The 15,887-nt window shown below is 38.8% G+C and overlaps 1 protein-coding gene across 11 annotated transcripts in view, besides 3 other annotated features; it reads right to left on the bottom strand.

The window, feature by feature from the left end:
• BARD1 (BRCA1 associated RING domain 1) overlaps positions 1-15,887 on the bottom strand; it is an 84,038-nt gene that overhangs the window by 67,683 nt on the left and 468 nt on the right. For 8 of the 11 annotated variants that reach the window (NR_104212.2, NR_104216.2, NM_001282545.2 and 5 more), the window contains exon 2: positions 3,733-3,789. The exons of the other annotated variants lie outside the window; for them this stretch is intronic. Coding sequence is in view for 6 of the 8 variants with exons in the window: in NM_001282545.2 (NP_001269474.1) it covers positions 3,733-3,789 (57 nt within the window). In the remaining 2 variants the exon portion in view is untranslated. The remainder of the gene's footprint in view (positions 1-3,732; positions 3,790-15,887) is intronic. 11 annotated transcript variants of the gene reach the window in all.
• Positions 9,527-10,070: an enhancer, noted in NCBI's record as "OCT4-NANOG-H3K27ac hESC enhancer chr2:215667579-215668122 (GRCh37/hg19 assembly coordinates)". NCBI's record gives its function as "activates a minimal SCP1, AML or CMV promoter by ChIP-STARR-seq in naive H9 embryonic stem cells {active_cell/tissue: H9 hESC(naive)}" and the evidence as "EXISTENCE:reporter gene assay evidence [ECO:0000049][PMID:30033119]".
• Positions 15,294-15,343: an enhancer, noted in NCBI's record as "active region_17072". NCBI's record gives its function as "activates an Ori minimal core promoter by ATAC-STARR-seq in GM12878 lymphoblastoid cells {active_cell/tissue: GM12878}" and the evidence as "EXISTENCE:reporter gene assay evidence [ECO:0000049][PMID:35858748]".
• Positions 15,634-15,713: an enhancer, noted in NCBI's record as "active region_17073". NCBI's record gives its function as "activates an Ori minimal core promoter by ATAC-STARR-seq in GM12878 lymphoblastoid cells {active_cell/tissue: GM12878}" and the evidence as "EXISTENCE:reporter gene assay evidence [ECO:0000049][PMID:35858748]".

A 15,887-nucleotide genomic window follows, 5' to 3' on the forward strand; every position in this document is an offset into this window, starting at 1 on the left:
ATGTAACTCAAAAAAAATTGTAAAATGAATCTGTAACCCATACCAGAGCTGGAAGAGACTTTTGGGACCATCTAATTCAAAAAATGTCACTGGGGTCAATAAATGTCAACTTTCTTTAGCAAAGGATCTTCTGTACATTTGTTTGCTAGTAGTTAAGAACTCTAACTTGGAACCCCAACACAAAAAAATATGTAAAACTGATTACTCATGCAATTTAAATCATTTGTGCAATACTTAATTATCAGTAAAATACAATCTGAAATCAACTCATCAAGAACTACCACCTCATTTTTGGATGAAGAAAATGAGATCCAGTTATTTAAGTTACTTGTCCAGCACTGCACTAGTACTCAGATCAGACTAGTATTTTATATTTCTATAACATTTTATAAACTATTCCCAAATTATTTTATATACATTAATTTGGAATTCTGAAAAAAATGTCATTTTTCGGTGGACCTGTATAGCTCAGTGAGTATTTCTCAAATGACCCGTGTGTGATGTCATAAAATCATGCTGAGTAACAGATAAATTCAAAGTACTAGATAAACCAATGAAATTTCATGTAACAGAGTATAAAAATTTATTGATATAGTTTCAGATTCCACACTGTGATGAACCTAAAGAAAACAGCACTTGTTGGCCAGGCATGGTGATTCATTCCTGTAATCTCAGCACTTTGGGAGGCCGAGACAAGAGAATCGCTTGAGCCCAGGAGTTCAAGACCATCATGGGCAACATGGCAAAACCTTGTCTCTACAAAAAACTACAAAAATTAGCCAGGCGTGGTGGGGTGCACCTGTAGTCTCAGCTACTCAGAAAGTGAGATTGGATGATCACCCAAGCCAAGAAGTTGAGGCTGTAGTGAGCCATGATCGCGCCACTGCACTCCAGCCTGGGTGACAGAGTGAGACTCTTGTCTTCACAAAAAAATAAAAATAAAAAAGCACTTGTCAAGTTTTGGTGTAGTATTAAAGAAGAATAGCCACAATTATCTAAAAAAGCTACTGAAAATACTTCAATACTTCTTCCAACTACAATTATGTATAAAGCCAGATTTTCTTCAATCAAAAAAGTATCACAATAGACTGAATATATAAGTTGAGAATGTAGCTGTTTTCCATTCAGCAAGACAGAGATTTGCAAAAATGTACAACAGTGCCACTCTATTTTTTTCTTTGATTTGTTAAAATTGTTATTTTTCCTTACAAAGTGTTATTTGTGTTTGTATTAATGGGTTTATTATTTTTAAATTAATTTTTTTAAAAAGTCTCAGTTTTGTACGGTAAATGCATGAACACACAAAAGCTCTTTATGGTTCTCAATTCTGAAGAATGCTCAAAATGTTTGAGCACCCCTGCCACATGTCTTAAATTGTATCTTAGAGAGTAGATGAATTACCTTTATCAGTTGAACTGAGCTATGTCAAATCATTTTAAAACCTCATTGCTGAGCAGTTTTAACTCAAAATCTGCATGAATAAAAACAGCTACCATAATTTTTGGCATCATATAATCAAAACAAATCAAAACTGCACTGAATGAATTCTTTCCTACGTTCATGTCATATACACATAATCATTTTCTCTTTTAAGATGTTCTCGTGTCTCAAACCTTTGATTGGTTGTTTTAAGTCACAGAGTCCTTTAGAATCTGATTAAACGTATGGATCCCCCACCCCACCACACACACAAACCAACTTTGCATAAAATGTCATGGAGTTCATTATGCTCTAGCAGCTTTGTGACTGACCTATTGTATACAGTGAGCAAACCCATCATCTGTCAGCTGAAACAAAATACATCTGCTTGCTACAGAGTGGGGACAGGGAGTGGGCATCATTTCGTAAGCAGATCCATGGGAGGCGTTTTGGAGGCAGTGACATTTCAGCTGATATATAACTGGTAAAAAGTAAGCCTCACAGAAATCTGGCATAAGTACATTTCACGTGGAAGAAATAGCAAGTGCCAAAGTCCTGGGGCGGGAGTGAATTTGGTGTATTGAATGAGCTAAAAGGAGAAGTGCTGGAACAGTGTGAGCCAGAGGTAAATGACGTCCAAGAGGAAGACAGGTTCTAGGTCCCATACAGGGTTTTGCAGACCAGAGGGCAGAGCTTGGATTTTATTTTAACTGCAATAGGAACCCACTAAAGAGTTTAAGCAGGGTAATGATATGGATATTATCGTGATTTTTCAAAGATCACTGTCAAGAATGTAGAAAATGAGGAAGGGGTGATGATGCCAAAAAGGGAAGACCAGCTATGAACCTATCACAATAGTATGAGCAGAGATAATACAATGATGGCTTGGAACAAACTATAAACTGTAGAAAATTCAGAAAAAAGGTGGAAAAATTCAAGATTCAGGACACATTTTGAGGCAGAACTGACAGAACTTAGCGATGTGGGATAAGCAACCTAGCAGTAACTGGTACCATTTACTGTGATGAAGATTACCCAGGCAGGAAAAGGCTGAAGAGGAGGATGATCAAGAGGTCAGCTCTGAACACACCAACTTTAAAATGCCTTTTCTTTCATCATCCAAACAGACGTATCTGGTAGGCAACAGGTTCCATCTCCTACCCCCCATCCTCCTGCTGGATATCCCTCGTATAACAGATCTGTTTTTCCAGGAACAAAATTGGGACCCAAAACATAGCTGCCTCCCAGACAACCTTAGCCCTTGAAGTAATACACAAGGTTATTTTCATATATGCTCAAATTTCCGAATGTATTTGTTCATGTCAGACAGTAACATACTCATAACTGGAAATAATTAAAAGATTAATTCAAAGGAGACTATATTTTCCCTGTCTCATAGGCAATTAAACTAAGACACTTAATCTCTCAACTGATTTCTCCTGAACAAGAAATAAGAGATAAAAATCTAATCTTCTGACCTGTAAGCCAGGGCCATCACATGGATATAATTTCACAATAACTGTTATGCACTGAATTGTGTCCCCCAAAAAGATGTTTGAGTCTTCACCCCTCAGTTACTGTGAATGTGACCTAATTTGGAAAAAGAGGCTCTAGACGATCAAGTTAAGATGAGAACATTAGGGTGAGCCCTTAATATAAGTGGTATTCGTATGAAAAGAGGAAATTTGACACAGAGAGAAGCAAGCACTCAAGGAAGAATGCCAGGTGTACATGAAAGCAAAGACCAGAGTGATACATCTCCAAGTCAAGGAACAGCAAAGATTGCTAGGGGAAAGGCAAGGAGCAGATTCTCCCTCACAGCCCACAGAAGGAACCAACCCTGTCATCATCTTGATCTTAGACTCCTAGCCTACAGAACTAGAGAGACAATACATTTCTGTTGTTCTAAGCCACCCAGTTTTTGGTTCTTTGTTATGGCAGCCTTAGGAAACTAATATAATAACTGTAAGACCTATACTTTCACAATTTTGAGTCTAGATTCAAAATTTAACTGGAAAATTTAAAAACATCTATTTGAATTATATAAAAGGCATTAATTTTTTTCCTCCAATTTGGCAAAGCTGTCTACTAAGCTTTGTAACTTGGACAAGTCATCCTCTTTGAGCTTTGGTTTTCTTATTTGTAAATTAAGACACAGTTTTAAAGATCAAACTAAGATAATGTACAATAGGTTACTTTGCAGACTTTGAAAGTTACACAAACATCAAGTACCATTATTATCAACAAGATTACATGATTGTTATCTAGTAAAAAATACAGTTGTACTATATACATCAAACCGTAATTACTTACCTACAGAAGATGTGCTCACATCCTCCTAAACACACAGGCTCTCTCAGAATGTTAGTACTGTTTGAAGAAATTAAAACAATCAAGATTTGAGTCATTGTTAGATAAACATCTCACACCCAATATTTCATCCAAGGCCCAACACTACCATATTTCTCACTTTCTCAAAGCAGAAGGTATTAAGGATGCATTCATTTGAAAGGCTGTTACTCCCTGGTTAAATATTGTACCATAACATACCTGATGATTTTAAATAGTAACCACCAAACTGGGTACAAGTTGTAATACATTTTAAAATGTATTTTCTAGAAAGTTGGAGAAAGGAACAATTTTGTTCAAGTATCTCTAAACCTCTTAAGGCAAAACCAACTACTGGCTGCTTCTTTCAACTACTAAGGTGTATCTTCCCCTTATGATTCAAAGTGTAGACCATATACCTCAAAATGTGTCCCACACGTAGAATGACCATATAACGTATCATCCAAATGAGAAAACTTCTGAGAGTGAAGAGGAGTGATAATTGAATAGGATGCTGGGACAACAGGAATAAACCAGGACTGCCCCAGACAAACCAGGATATCTAGTCATTTTGACCGTAAGAATCCAAGGTTTCCCAATTAAAAAAAACATGTGTTTCTTACTACTGTAAAGTAGCCATCAATTTTTCACAGATATATTGTGAAAAATGCAGCCATTCTTTCAGTTCACAGAAAGTTAATTGTTCTTTAAGCAAATGTAAACAGAAATCATCAGATTAGCAGTGTGTCTGCAGATAGAATGAAGTTCCCTGCAGTGAGTGAGCAAAGAGACACAGAAACAAAATATTTCTAATACTGTCCATCAAAATACCTGCTACATTTGTTAATCCTAACAAAGTAATGATACTAATAAATACACACCAAGACATTATACTCAATGGATGTAATGTACCCAGAGAAGTAAAGCCTTTTAAATGATGAGCACTTTTTCTGCTTGGTTTATTATACTAACTCTAAAACCTTTAGATATTTACACCATTATTATTAAATTACCTCTGTACACATACCACGTATCAATAAAAACAATTCTTCACATTTCTTGAAAGATTGAAAGTATCACACTGCACATCTTAATAGATATGAACATTCAAGTGAAATTGAGATTTTCAGAAAGATTGCGAAAAACAGTACACACCCACAATGTTATTCTCAAGATACTGAAAATGGTGCTCACTGACGTTACAAAACCTATTACTTTTTAAAAACTCACCATGTCTGATTTTTGTATCACAGTATGTAAAACGTACAGATAAAAATATGACTTGTGACTCTGCCAATAAACATGATCTCTTTTAACATTCATACTGTGTCTATAATTTTTGTTATTTGACCTAGCAAACCTAACCTCCTTTTCCCCATCAAGTGTACTGAATTCTATTTCGTGGCAAGCTCCTCCTATCATAATATCCTTCCTTTACCTCTTTTATTACATCGCCCTGGCCAAACCTCCACCTTCAGGTTGCTCTCTACCTTGAAAGAAGTCCATTCAGTTTCCTAGCACCTTGGATTCCCTATCCAGCCCAGGCCAGAGTTAACTATTTCCAAGCCACCTTCACCACTACCTAATTGTGCTGACCTCTTAGACACTCATGGATGCCAATCTATAATGCTAGATAGGCCCCAGAGTCTACTTCTTCCCTGCCCACTCAGGCTGCGAATAACCACTATTAAAAAAAGAAAAAAAAAAAAAAAAAAGGAAAGAAAGATGAATAAACTTCTCTCTATAAATTCATTTGGTAGCAACCGGGTACTGAGGCTCATGCCTGTAATCCTAGCACTTTGGGAGGCCGAGGTGAGAGGATCACTTGAGGCCAGGAGCTTGACTGGCCTGGGCAACATGGTGAAACCCTGTCTCTACTAAAAATACAAAAATTAGCCAGGTGTGGTGGTGCATGTCTGTAATGCCAACAACTTGGGAGGCTGAGGCACAAGAATCACTTGAACCTGGAAGGTGGAGGTTGCACTGAGCCAAGATTGAGCCACTGCACTCCAGACTGGGTGACAGAGCGAGACCCTGTATCAAAAATAAATAAATAAAATTTTAAAAATATAAAAATTAGCCAGGCATGGTAGTGCACGCCTGTAATCCCAGGAACTGGGGAGGCTGAGGCACAAGAATCACTTGAACCCAGGAGGCACAGGTTGAGGTGAGCCGAGATTACACCCCTGCACTCCAGCCTGAGTGACAGAGCCAGACTCTGTCTCAAAAATATTAAAATAAAATAAAATAAAGACATAAAATTTATTTGGTAGCCTCTTCATGTTTGTATCTCTACCAAAGTAATGTATTCAATATTCTATAAATAAACAAACAAATGAATAGATGGCTATTCAAAACAATCTCTATGCTTCCTCATCTCATTAACTTTACTGGAACTTAATGGTGTAAGTTTTTTAACACCTAAATACATTTTTATCTCTTCACCAGTCATCTTACCCTTCCTAGAGTCTAAGAGGAAAATTCGATCTCCTTTAGTCACTCTTCCTAAAATGTGCTACTCTACCTATAGTTCCCATATCTTTTCTGCCTCCCAAAGCACTAGATATTCATAATACTTGCCTTTCTTCTCTCATTTGCATCTACACATGAACAGGTAATCTCTCCTTTGACACAGAAAAAACACAGTTTTGATCATACCTCCCATTCTACCTTCTGCTCCATCTCTTCCCTTTCTTGAACAGATAAAAGTTCTTAAATGAGTGCTCCATACCAGCTACTCCCATCTCCTCACCTTCCTAGCTTTAACTCCCTCCACTCTGCTGAAACTGTTCTCCAAAGCATTTTTGGTCCCCTTCTCTCTGACCACTCTGGGAAACAGCACTGACCTCATCTTCTTTCCTGAAACCTTTCCTTCCACCGCATTTTAATATTTTTATACACATTGATCTGCCTATTTCAGCATTTCCTTAGCTGCTTTTCCTACCTCTCCATGTAGGCATACCCCCAGGATGCAGTCCGTAGCCTTCCGGCTTTCTCTGGCAATACTTGACTCAACGCCTTGATTCTGTTTCTCAACTTTAAATTTCCTTCCTAAGATGACTGAACTCTTTAGCTATAGTTCTTAACCTTCACTCTAGCAATAAGGTGCTATCACATATTAGTAATGATTTAACATGTGGGAATAATTGATCAGTTGTACTAATTATTCTAATTAGTGAGTTAGAATATATATTTGTGTTGCTGTTAACGGATAAGGAAAGATAATGGAAATGTGAATGAGAAGTATGTGCACTTGTGTGTATTGGGGGAGGGAACAAGAAGGAAGTGTGTGAGCCAAGCTGAGAGAGAAGGGAGTGCCAAATTCAGTGGCACATGCCTGCAATCCCAGCTACTCAGGAGGCTGAGGCAGGAGGAAAGCTTGAGCCCAAGAGTTCAGGGCTATAGTGTGCCATGATCGTGCCTGTGAATAGCCACTGCGCTCCAGCCTGGACAACACAACAAGAACATGTATCTTTAGAAAAACTTTTTTAAAAAATTATTACAACTAGGAGATACCTATCAAGAATATAAATGCATCCAACTTTAACTCAGCTATTCCACTGCCAGGAATTTGTCCTTCAGCAACACTAGATACTTGCAAAAATGAAACTTTCAAACATCAAAGATATCTAGACAAGATTCTAAAACCTTCCAGAGATTTAAGAAATAATAAAATTAAATGTCATACTTTTTTTAAAAAAAGGAATCAGGATAGCATAAGACTTCTCAAGGGTAATAAGAGATGCTACAGAACTGTGGAACGAGGCCTTCAAAATAATTCTTGACAATTATTTTGTACTTTGAATTCTACATCCACTAACTTCCACTGTCAAAGTTAACAGTAGTAAGAAAATTCATCTTTGAGAATAGTTAGGAAGTTAATAACATCTAAAATGGAAAAAAAAATAAATAGCAATATAAACATATTTGGAAATGTAGAGGTACATGCTTGTAAAACTAAAAAAAAGACAAAAGATGTTTCTGATGCATAGAACTCAGGGGTGATGAAGGATGAAGCAAAGAATGTTTTCATTAATAGTCTGTCCTATTGACTCTGTCAACTACGTTCATGTATAACTTTATTTAAAAACATTTTAAATGTAAAGGCACATGACATCAGTATCACTCCAGCACTGCTTGTTACAGCAAAAGACCACAAACAACCTAAATGTTTCCAATAAGGAAATGGTTAAATGAATCATGCAACAACTACATGGTGTTTAGTATCTGCTTATCTGAGGCAGTACAATGCTTATATGAACATAGAACCTCTTGAAGGATACACAAGAAACTGATAATTATAAGTTACTGAAGAAGATTCACACTTATCTGTCGTTCATTTAACAAATACTGAATGGCCATATACTGTGTTATTTTAATTCTTTTCACACACTGTTTACCATTAAAAAAAAATTTACTATTAAAAAGTTCTTCACAATCTGTAACACCTAAGCCATGCAACCTTTTCTCTCATTGCTCCTCAACAAAAACTCTGCTGTGGTCAGGCCAGTGTCTCTTACAACTATTATTAGCCTATGTCCATCTCTTGGATTTCAGCCTCCAGCCATCACTTCTGCAAAATTCATGCCATGTAACATCTAAAGAACAAAGTTGACTGTGTTCCACTCTTTTCTAAGGGTCTTATAATCTGGCCAATTAATTACATAAACCAAATTAATATGACTTAAAAGATGTACAAAATGCTCTAAAGTTACAAAGAAGAGAGCATCTAGTTGGGGTTCTGGGATTCAATGTTGAAAACCAAATATTTGGCGGGGGGGGGGGTTGTTTTTGTTTTTTTTAAAACAAGATCTTGCTCTGTCGCCCAGGCTGGAGTACAGTGGCATGATCACAGCTCACTGAGCTTTGAACTCCTGAGCTGAAGAAATCCTCCCATCTCAGCCTCCCACATAGCTGAGACTACAGGTGCACACCACCATACCTGGCTAATTTTTTGTAGAGGTGGGGTTTTGCCATGTTGCCCAGGCTTGAAAACTAAATATTTTGTACAGATGATCCCTGACTCACAATGGTTCGACTCACAATTTTTTAGCTTTATTATCCTGCAAATGTAATACACATTCAATAGAAATCACACTTTGAATTTTGATCTTTTCCCAGGCTAGCAATATGCAGTACAATGCTGGGCCACAGCAGGAAGTCATTCTGTTTTTCACTTTTAGTATGGTATTCAATAAATTACATGAGCTATTAAACACTTTATTATAAAATAGGCTTTGTGTTAGATGATTTAACCCAACTGGGCTAATGTTAGTGTTCTGGGCATGTTTAAGGTAGGCTGGGCTATGCTATGATGTTTGGTAGGGTATGTATATTAAATATATTTTTGACATACAATATTTTAAACTTACTATGGGTTGATCCAGACATAACCCCATCTCAAGTTCAGGAGCATCTGTATTTTAACTTCCTGATTTTCTATTTCTCTTGTCTTGAAATTAGACTCCAGCCCTAAGACAAGAGATCTTAACTTTCATTTTTTCTGAGCTCCCCAACCCACCATTACCTACCTAGCATGGTGCTAGATTAACTGCAGGATTTCAATAAGTTCTTAGTGAATGAACCAAATGGAAGCCTATATACAAAAATGCATTTGTATTAACAATTCCATTTTATCCTTACCCTATTTTCTGTTTGATATACATATATATTAGATAGAAAAAATCCAAACAAATAAGAGAAGACATTTGCATGGTAACAGGATTTCTGTACCTTGAAAATTCAGCTACTCTACTTTTTCCCCATCTACAGTCATACTTCTGTAACTTTACATGTAGTTGATTTAGAAAGATCAGTGTGGGGAAAAGCAAGAGAGATCAGATTGTTACTGTGTCTGTATAGAAAGAAGTAGACATAGGAGACTCCATTTTATTCTGTACTAAGAAAAATTCTTCTGCCTTGAGATTCTGTTAATCTATGACCCTACCCCCAACCCGGTGCTCTCTGAAACATGTGCTGTGTCAAACTCAGGGTTAAATGGATTAAGGGTTGTGCAAGATGTGCTTTGTTAAACAGATGCTTGAAGGCAGCTTGCTCCTTAAGAGTCATCACCACTCCCTAATCTCAAGTACCCAGGGACACAAACACTGCGGAAGGACCCCTGCCTAGGAAAGCCAGGTATTGTCCAAGGTTTCTCCCCATGTGATAGTCTGAAATATGGCCTTGTGGGAAGGGAAAGACCTGACCGTCCCCCAGCCCGACACCCGTAAAGGGTCTGTGCTGAGGAGGATTAGTATAAGAGGAAGGCAAGCCTCTTGCAGTTGAGACAAGAGGAAGGCATCTGTCTCCTGCCCGTCCCTGGGCAATGGAATGTCTCAGTATAAAACCCGATTGTAGGTTCCATCTACTGAGATAGGGAAAAACCGCCTTAGGGCTGGAGGTGGGACGTGCGGGCAGCAATACTGCTTTGTAAAGCATTGAGATGTTTCTGTGTATGCATATCTAAAAGCACAGTACTTAATCCTTTACCTTGTCTATGTTGCAAAGACCTTTGTTCACGTGTTTGTCTGCTGACCCTCTCCCCACTATTGTCTTGTGACCCTGACACATCCCCCTCTCGGAGAAACACCCATGAATGATCAATAAATACTAAGGGAACTCAGAGGCTGGCGGGATCCTCCATATGCTGAACGCTGGTTCCCTGGGTCCCCTTATTTCTTTCTCTATACTTTGTATCTGTGTCTTTTTCTTTTCCAAGTCTCTCGTTCCACCTTACGAGAAACACCCACAGGTGTGGAGGGGCAACCCACCCCTTCAGATCAGTGCTGTCAGAGGATAACTTAGGGAAGAATTAAGTAGTGAGAACAATTTTTTTTAAAGTTCTTACTGATACAAAATTTTCTTCGAAAAGAAAAAAAGGAAGGTAAATCCATCTGAGATGATAATACCAAGGCAGATCTATTTCTTAATAGAATGGCTCCCCTGTATCTCCATGAAATATCAACTGCTATTTAATATTAGGCAAGACAGCTCCCAAAGTGCTCTTACATTTTAAAGAATCCTCAAGGTAATTTTAACGTGTGGACCAACATGTTGAACATCTAAATGTGCAGGCTCACCAAGCCAATTAAACAATTTTTCTTGTGTTTATCTTTAGAAGAATAAAGTGTTTAACAAGTAAAGTATATGGATAATGACATGGAACCTATAGGGGATTCTTAGCAATTCATGTAAATTAACTAGATCTTCTGGTATTACCACTTGCAAAGGCCCTTCAAATGTGATCCTACCTTAACCTAAGTTCTTTCATACATCAATTTAACATACACTAAGAAACTATGTGTCTGGCATTGTGGCTACAAACGTGAACCTAGTTTTACTAAATATATAACTGAAGGAGACAGACATCACTCAAAATATTCCATAAATAAATAAATCTCACAAATAAATTCTAACTTGGAAGATACGATACAAGCTGAACACCAATGATTTGTGCCTTTTCTGTATGTATGTTAAACTTCATCCAGTGGACACAAATAACTATGAAATCTGCAAACTGGAGAGAACTTTACAAATCAACGAGTCCATTTTCCTCATTTTATAGATGAGGAACCAGAGTCCAGGAAAGCTATACAAATTGCTCTCTTTAGGAAGTTAACTATATAAACCAACTGAGTATTCTGTTGTTAGGCTACTATCACTGATTTGACCCTGTCTTAACTCTCTGTTCACCTGACCCAGTCCCCCTTTACCCTACAATTCTTTATAGCTAGTTATTTGCAAATAACACCCATCACCCCAGCTCCCTGCAACCTGGCTCCATTTTAAAAATCTATTCGCATCTCGGCCTGGTGTGGTGGCTCACGCCTGTAATCCTAGCACTTTAGGAGGCCAAGAAGTGCGGATCACAAGGTCAGGAGTTCGAGACCAGCCTGAGCAACATGGTGAAACCCCGTGTCTACTAAAAATACAAAAATTAGCCGGGTTTGGTGGCGCTCACCTGTAATCCCAGCTACTCAGGAGGCTGAGGCAGGAGAATCACTTGAACCTGGCAGGCGGAGGTTGCAGTGAGCCGAGATCACACCACCGCACTCCAGCCTGGGTGACAGAGGGAGACTCCGTCTCAGAAAAAAGAAAATCTATTCATATTTCAATTTAAAAGCCCATGAAGCTTCCTTCCACTGGCCCTACCCAAGTACTCTTCTCAGCACTATGTCGACCTGCACGACAATTTACCCTGAACTTGTATTTATTTTATCCCTTATAATTAAGCATACACTCCTTAAAGGCAGAAGTAGAAAATGCATCACCTTATCACCCCTTACACAGTGTCTCAGTGATTTCTCGTTATTCTAATGAATAACCAGTGCCAGGGAGAAATCATTCCATTTGGGGATCACTGCTCTGTGAGAATGCCTCTGAACATTCAAAACTCATGAAGAAAGGCAAAAGCTGAACCCGGAGTCAGAGAACCTATCCTTTATTTCACAAATATTCATATAGTATTTAGTACATAACAGACACAGCTCAAGGCATCTTATGAATATCCACTCATTTTGTGCAGATGAAGAAAAGGAAGCATAAAAAGATAAAATAACCTAAATAATGGAGCCAGGATTTGAACCCAGGGAATCTAACTCCAGATTCCACACATTTAACATCTACACTATGCTGCCTCAAAGTATGAGAGAATACAAAATTAAGCTTGATCATCTCCTAAACAAGAACTCAGAAAAAAAAAAATACCTATCATAAAGGTTAAAAGATTACTTTCTAACTTTTCATAAAAAGTTGATTAAAAAGGCCCACGTTACAATTGTCATAGATGTCTAATCCCACTCTCACCCTCAAAAATATGCCAAGAGGTACCTATTAATTCACAAAACAGTGTTATATGACACCTGGGGCTTCTACACTGCAGCTCCTATTACCATTTCCTGCTTCCTTTAGGAACACATTATTACTGTGCTTTCTGCCAGCCTCTCAAATAATATGGTCTTCCTGTCTCATTTTTCCAAATCCTTAAATAGCTTCTTTCTGGTTGTGAGGCTTGGTCCTAATATAAATGTCACATCTGGCCTCTTGAACACTTTCATCGGCTTCACCTTGAAGCCAGATTCATGTTAAAGGTCAAGAAAGGATGCCCGGTTATGTACCAATCCACCCTCACCAGCAAGTAATGCTTGCTGCAAAACAGATCCATGTGCAACACAAGGCAGATGTCAGCTGCAAGCTGAATGTGAGGGTAATCGGGGTAATCACTAGCCCACTGGGTAGAACTCTGAAACTCTGTAAAAGGACATACTGACACAATTTCAAATAATATGACACTGCTTTGAATGGAGGGTAGCAAATGGAAGAAGCAGACCATTCTGAGTTGCTCCTTGCCGGCAATGTCAGGAGGCTACCAGGGCAAAGGCAGAGGTAGGAACAATGCTTTTCCTCCTTGAGTAAGGTGCAGCTGGCCATGCTTTTTTCACTATAGATAGTGCCAAAGTTGCAGAGACACCTACAGAGGAAAGCAAAATCATTTCTAAACATTAAAGCCCATGTAAAGACCAGGCATGGTGGCTCACGCCTGTAATCCCAGCACTTTGGGAGGCTGAAGTGGGCGGATCACTTGAGGTCAGGAGTTGGAGACCAGCCTGGCCAACATGATGAAACCCCGTCTCTAGTAAAAATACAAAAATTAGCCGGGCATGGTGGCATGCACCTGTAGTTCCAGCTACTCAGGAGGCTGAGGCAAGAGAATTGCTTGAACCCGGGGGAAGGAGGTTGCAGTGAGCTGAAATCATGCCACTGCACTCCAGCTTGGGTGACAGAGTGAAACTTTGCCTAGGGAAAAAAAAAAAAAAAAGGCACCCCATGTGATATAAAATTGTATACCAAAAAGGATTTTTAAACTTGAGACATTAAGTTTATCAAGACTTTATCGACAGTTTAGCAACTATTGCCTGTGGGCCAAACCAAGCCAGCAGTCTGTTTCTGTACAGCCCTTAAGGAAAGAATGGTTTTTACATTTTTAAGAGATGTAAAAATAAATAAGAACAAAAACTATTTGCGGGCAGAAAGGCCTAAAATATTAATTACCTGGCCCTTTACCGAAAAAATTTGCAGACCCCTACATGAAAACATGCAGTCTAAGAGTTAAGATTCAGTTCATCTATAGAGGTTCGGATTAAAAAAAAAAAAATCAATAGCATTCAATAGCATTCTGTAGTCAAATGGGTGAGCCATGCTAAAAGTCTGGGCCTGGTTACTGATGTCTGTTTACACTCCGTTGCCTCTTACTGTCTACTCACTTCAGTTAGAAACTGGAAAAATATTTGGTAGGGGATAAAAAGTGAAACCGGCTTTGTTATTTTTCAGGACAACATATATTCATATATATTATCTATTTTGTCTCTCCCAAATCATGTAGCAAGCAAACACCACATTCTTTTAGATTAAGACACACATTATTTATCATTTATTCTATCACAACCACCAAACTCAATACTTTACATACATGTAAAATTTCATTTTGTTTCTTCCATAAAAGCTCCCTAAGAGATGGAATTTATTGTCTGCTTTGTTCACTAACAAATCCCCAATACCCAGAATAGGGTCTGGCACTTTATGGGTGCTCAATAAATTTATGATTATTAATGAATCCTCACAAGAAAATAAGCTAATCATTAGTATTACTCATATCCGGAAAATGAGAGATGAATAACTTGGCCTACTCAATAGTGTCAAAGCTAGAACCTGAACTCAGGCATTCTGACCACAGTCTAAGTGAAGCCCGATGCTTCCACATAGGTATGTGCCAAGGGAATGTCTAACTTTCGTTGGACTATCAAGGTGTGAACTATAATGCTTCTGTTATTGCAACTAGCAGTGCCAGTTTTAAATTTCCTATTCTCAGATGACCCATGTGCTACAGGAAAACAAACACACAACTCAAATGTCTTCATGTACTCACTTATCTGAGTGTCACTTTTCTAAGAAGTGCAATGTCATTTTGTCACAGATATTAAAAGTTTTCGTCAAAGAAAATATAAGTGCAAAACTCTGACAGTTAAGTCCTTTTCATTTTTAAAGAAAAAGTTTGGCCGGGCACCGTGGCTCACGCCTGTAATCCCAGCACTTTGGGAGGCAGAGGCGGGCGGATCACGAGGTCAGGAGACGGAGACCATCCTGGCTAACACGGTGAAACCCCATCTGTACTAAAAATACAAAAAATTAGCCGGGCATGATGGCGGGCGCCTGCAGTCCCAGCTACTTGGGAGGCTGAAGCAGGAGAATGGCGTGAACCCGGGAGGCGGAGCTTGCAGTGAGACAAGATCGTGCCACTGCACTCCAGCCTGGGCGACAGAGCGAGACTCCGTCTCAAAAAAGGAAAGAAAAGAAAAAGTTGTGTTACTTATACTTTATGCAACTAGGTAACTTAAGTTCTGCAAGTTAGAAATCAAAGGGGAAAAAAGTCCAAAAAGGATATAAACTTTTGACAGCTACAAATAACAAAAAAACTGCCAGTGATCTTCATACAGAAATACTTAGCTGTACACACAGCAAGTGCTCAATAAAAATGCTTTTCAGAAGAAATGAAAATGAGACAAACCTTTCTTGGGTTTTACAAACCTTCTTGGTTTGTATACTAGAAAGAGCTACACGAAAAAAAGCAAGAAGTAACACTCATGAAAATGTCTTTGGACGGAATGAAAACCCTGAGAGGACTCCCATAATGTGACAGCATGAAGGAAAACAATAAACAGCATCACTAAGAGCGGGGACACCAGACATACAGTCTTTTGAGCAAACTAAGAAAATGAGAAATTCCGTGCCATCTTCAATCTACAACTATGGTAGATATCCGATGCTCCATCCCATCTCACTCGAAAAAGCTGGCACGGAGAAAATGTCAAAAAGGCCAGTTTAACTTAGAGTGGCAGCTGCTTCTAATTTAGAGGGTCTCCGGGGCGGCCCGCCAGCCCAATTCGCCACAGCTCCCGGAAAGCAGCGGGGTAATCCAGGGCCGGGTAAAAAATGCAGAAGCCTCAGCCCCACCCCAGCCCGATTCAAACTCTGGAGGCGCGACCGGGATGAACATTTTTTTAGCCACACCTCCAGACGGTTCTTCAGCCCGCTGAAGTTCAAAAACTACCGTTTCAGTTGGATTCAGGGCAAGGGGAGGCCGG

The sequence above is a fragment of the Homo sapiens genome, chromosome 2 (assembly GCF_000001405.40).
Source record: "Homo sapiens chromosome 2, GRCh38.p14 Primary Assembly".
Classification (NCBI taxonomy): domain Eukaryota; kingdom Metazoa; phylum Chordata; class Mammalia; order Primates; family Hominidae; genus Homo; species Homo sapiens.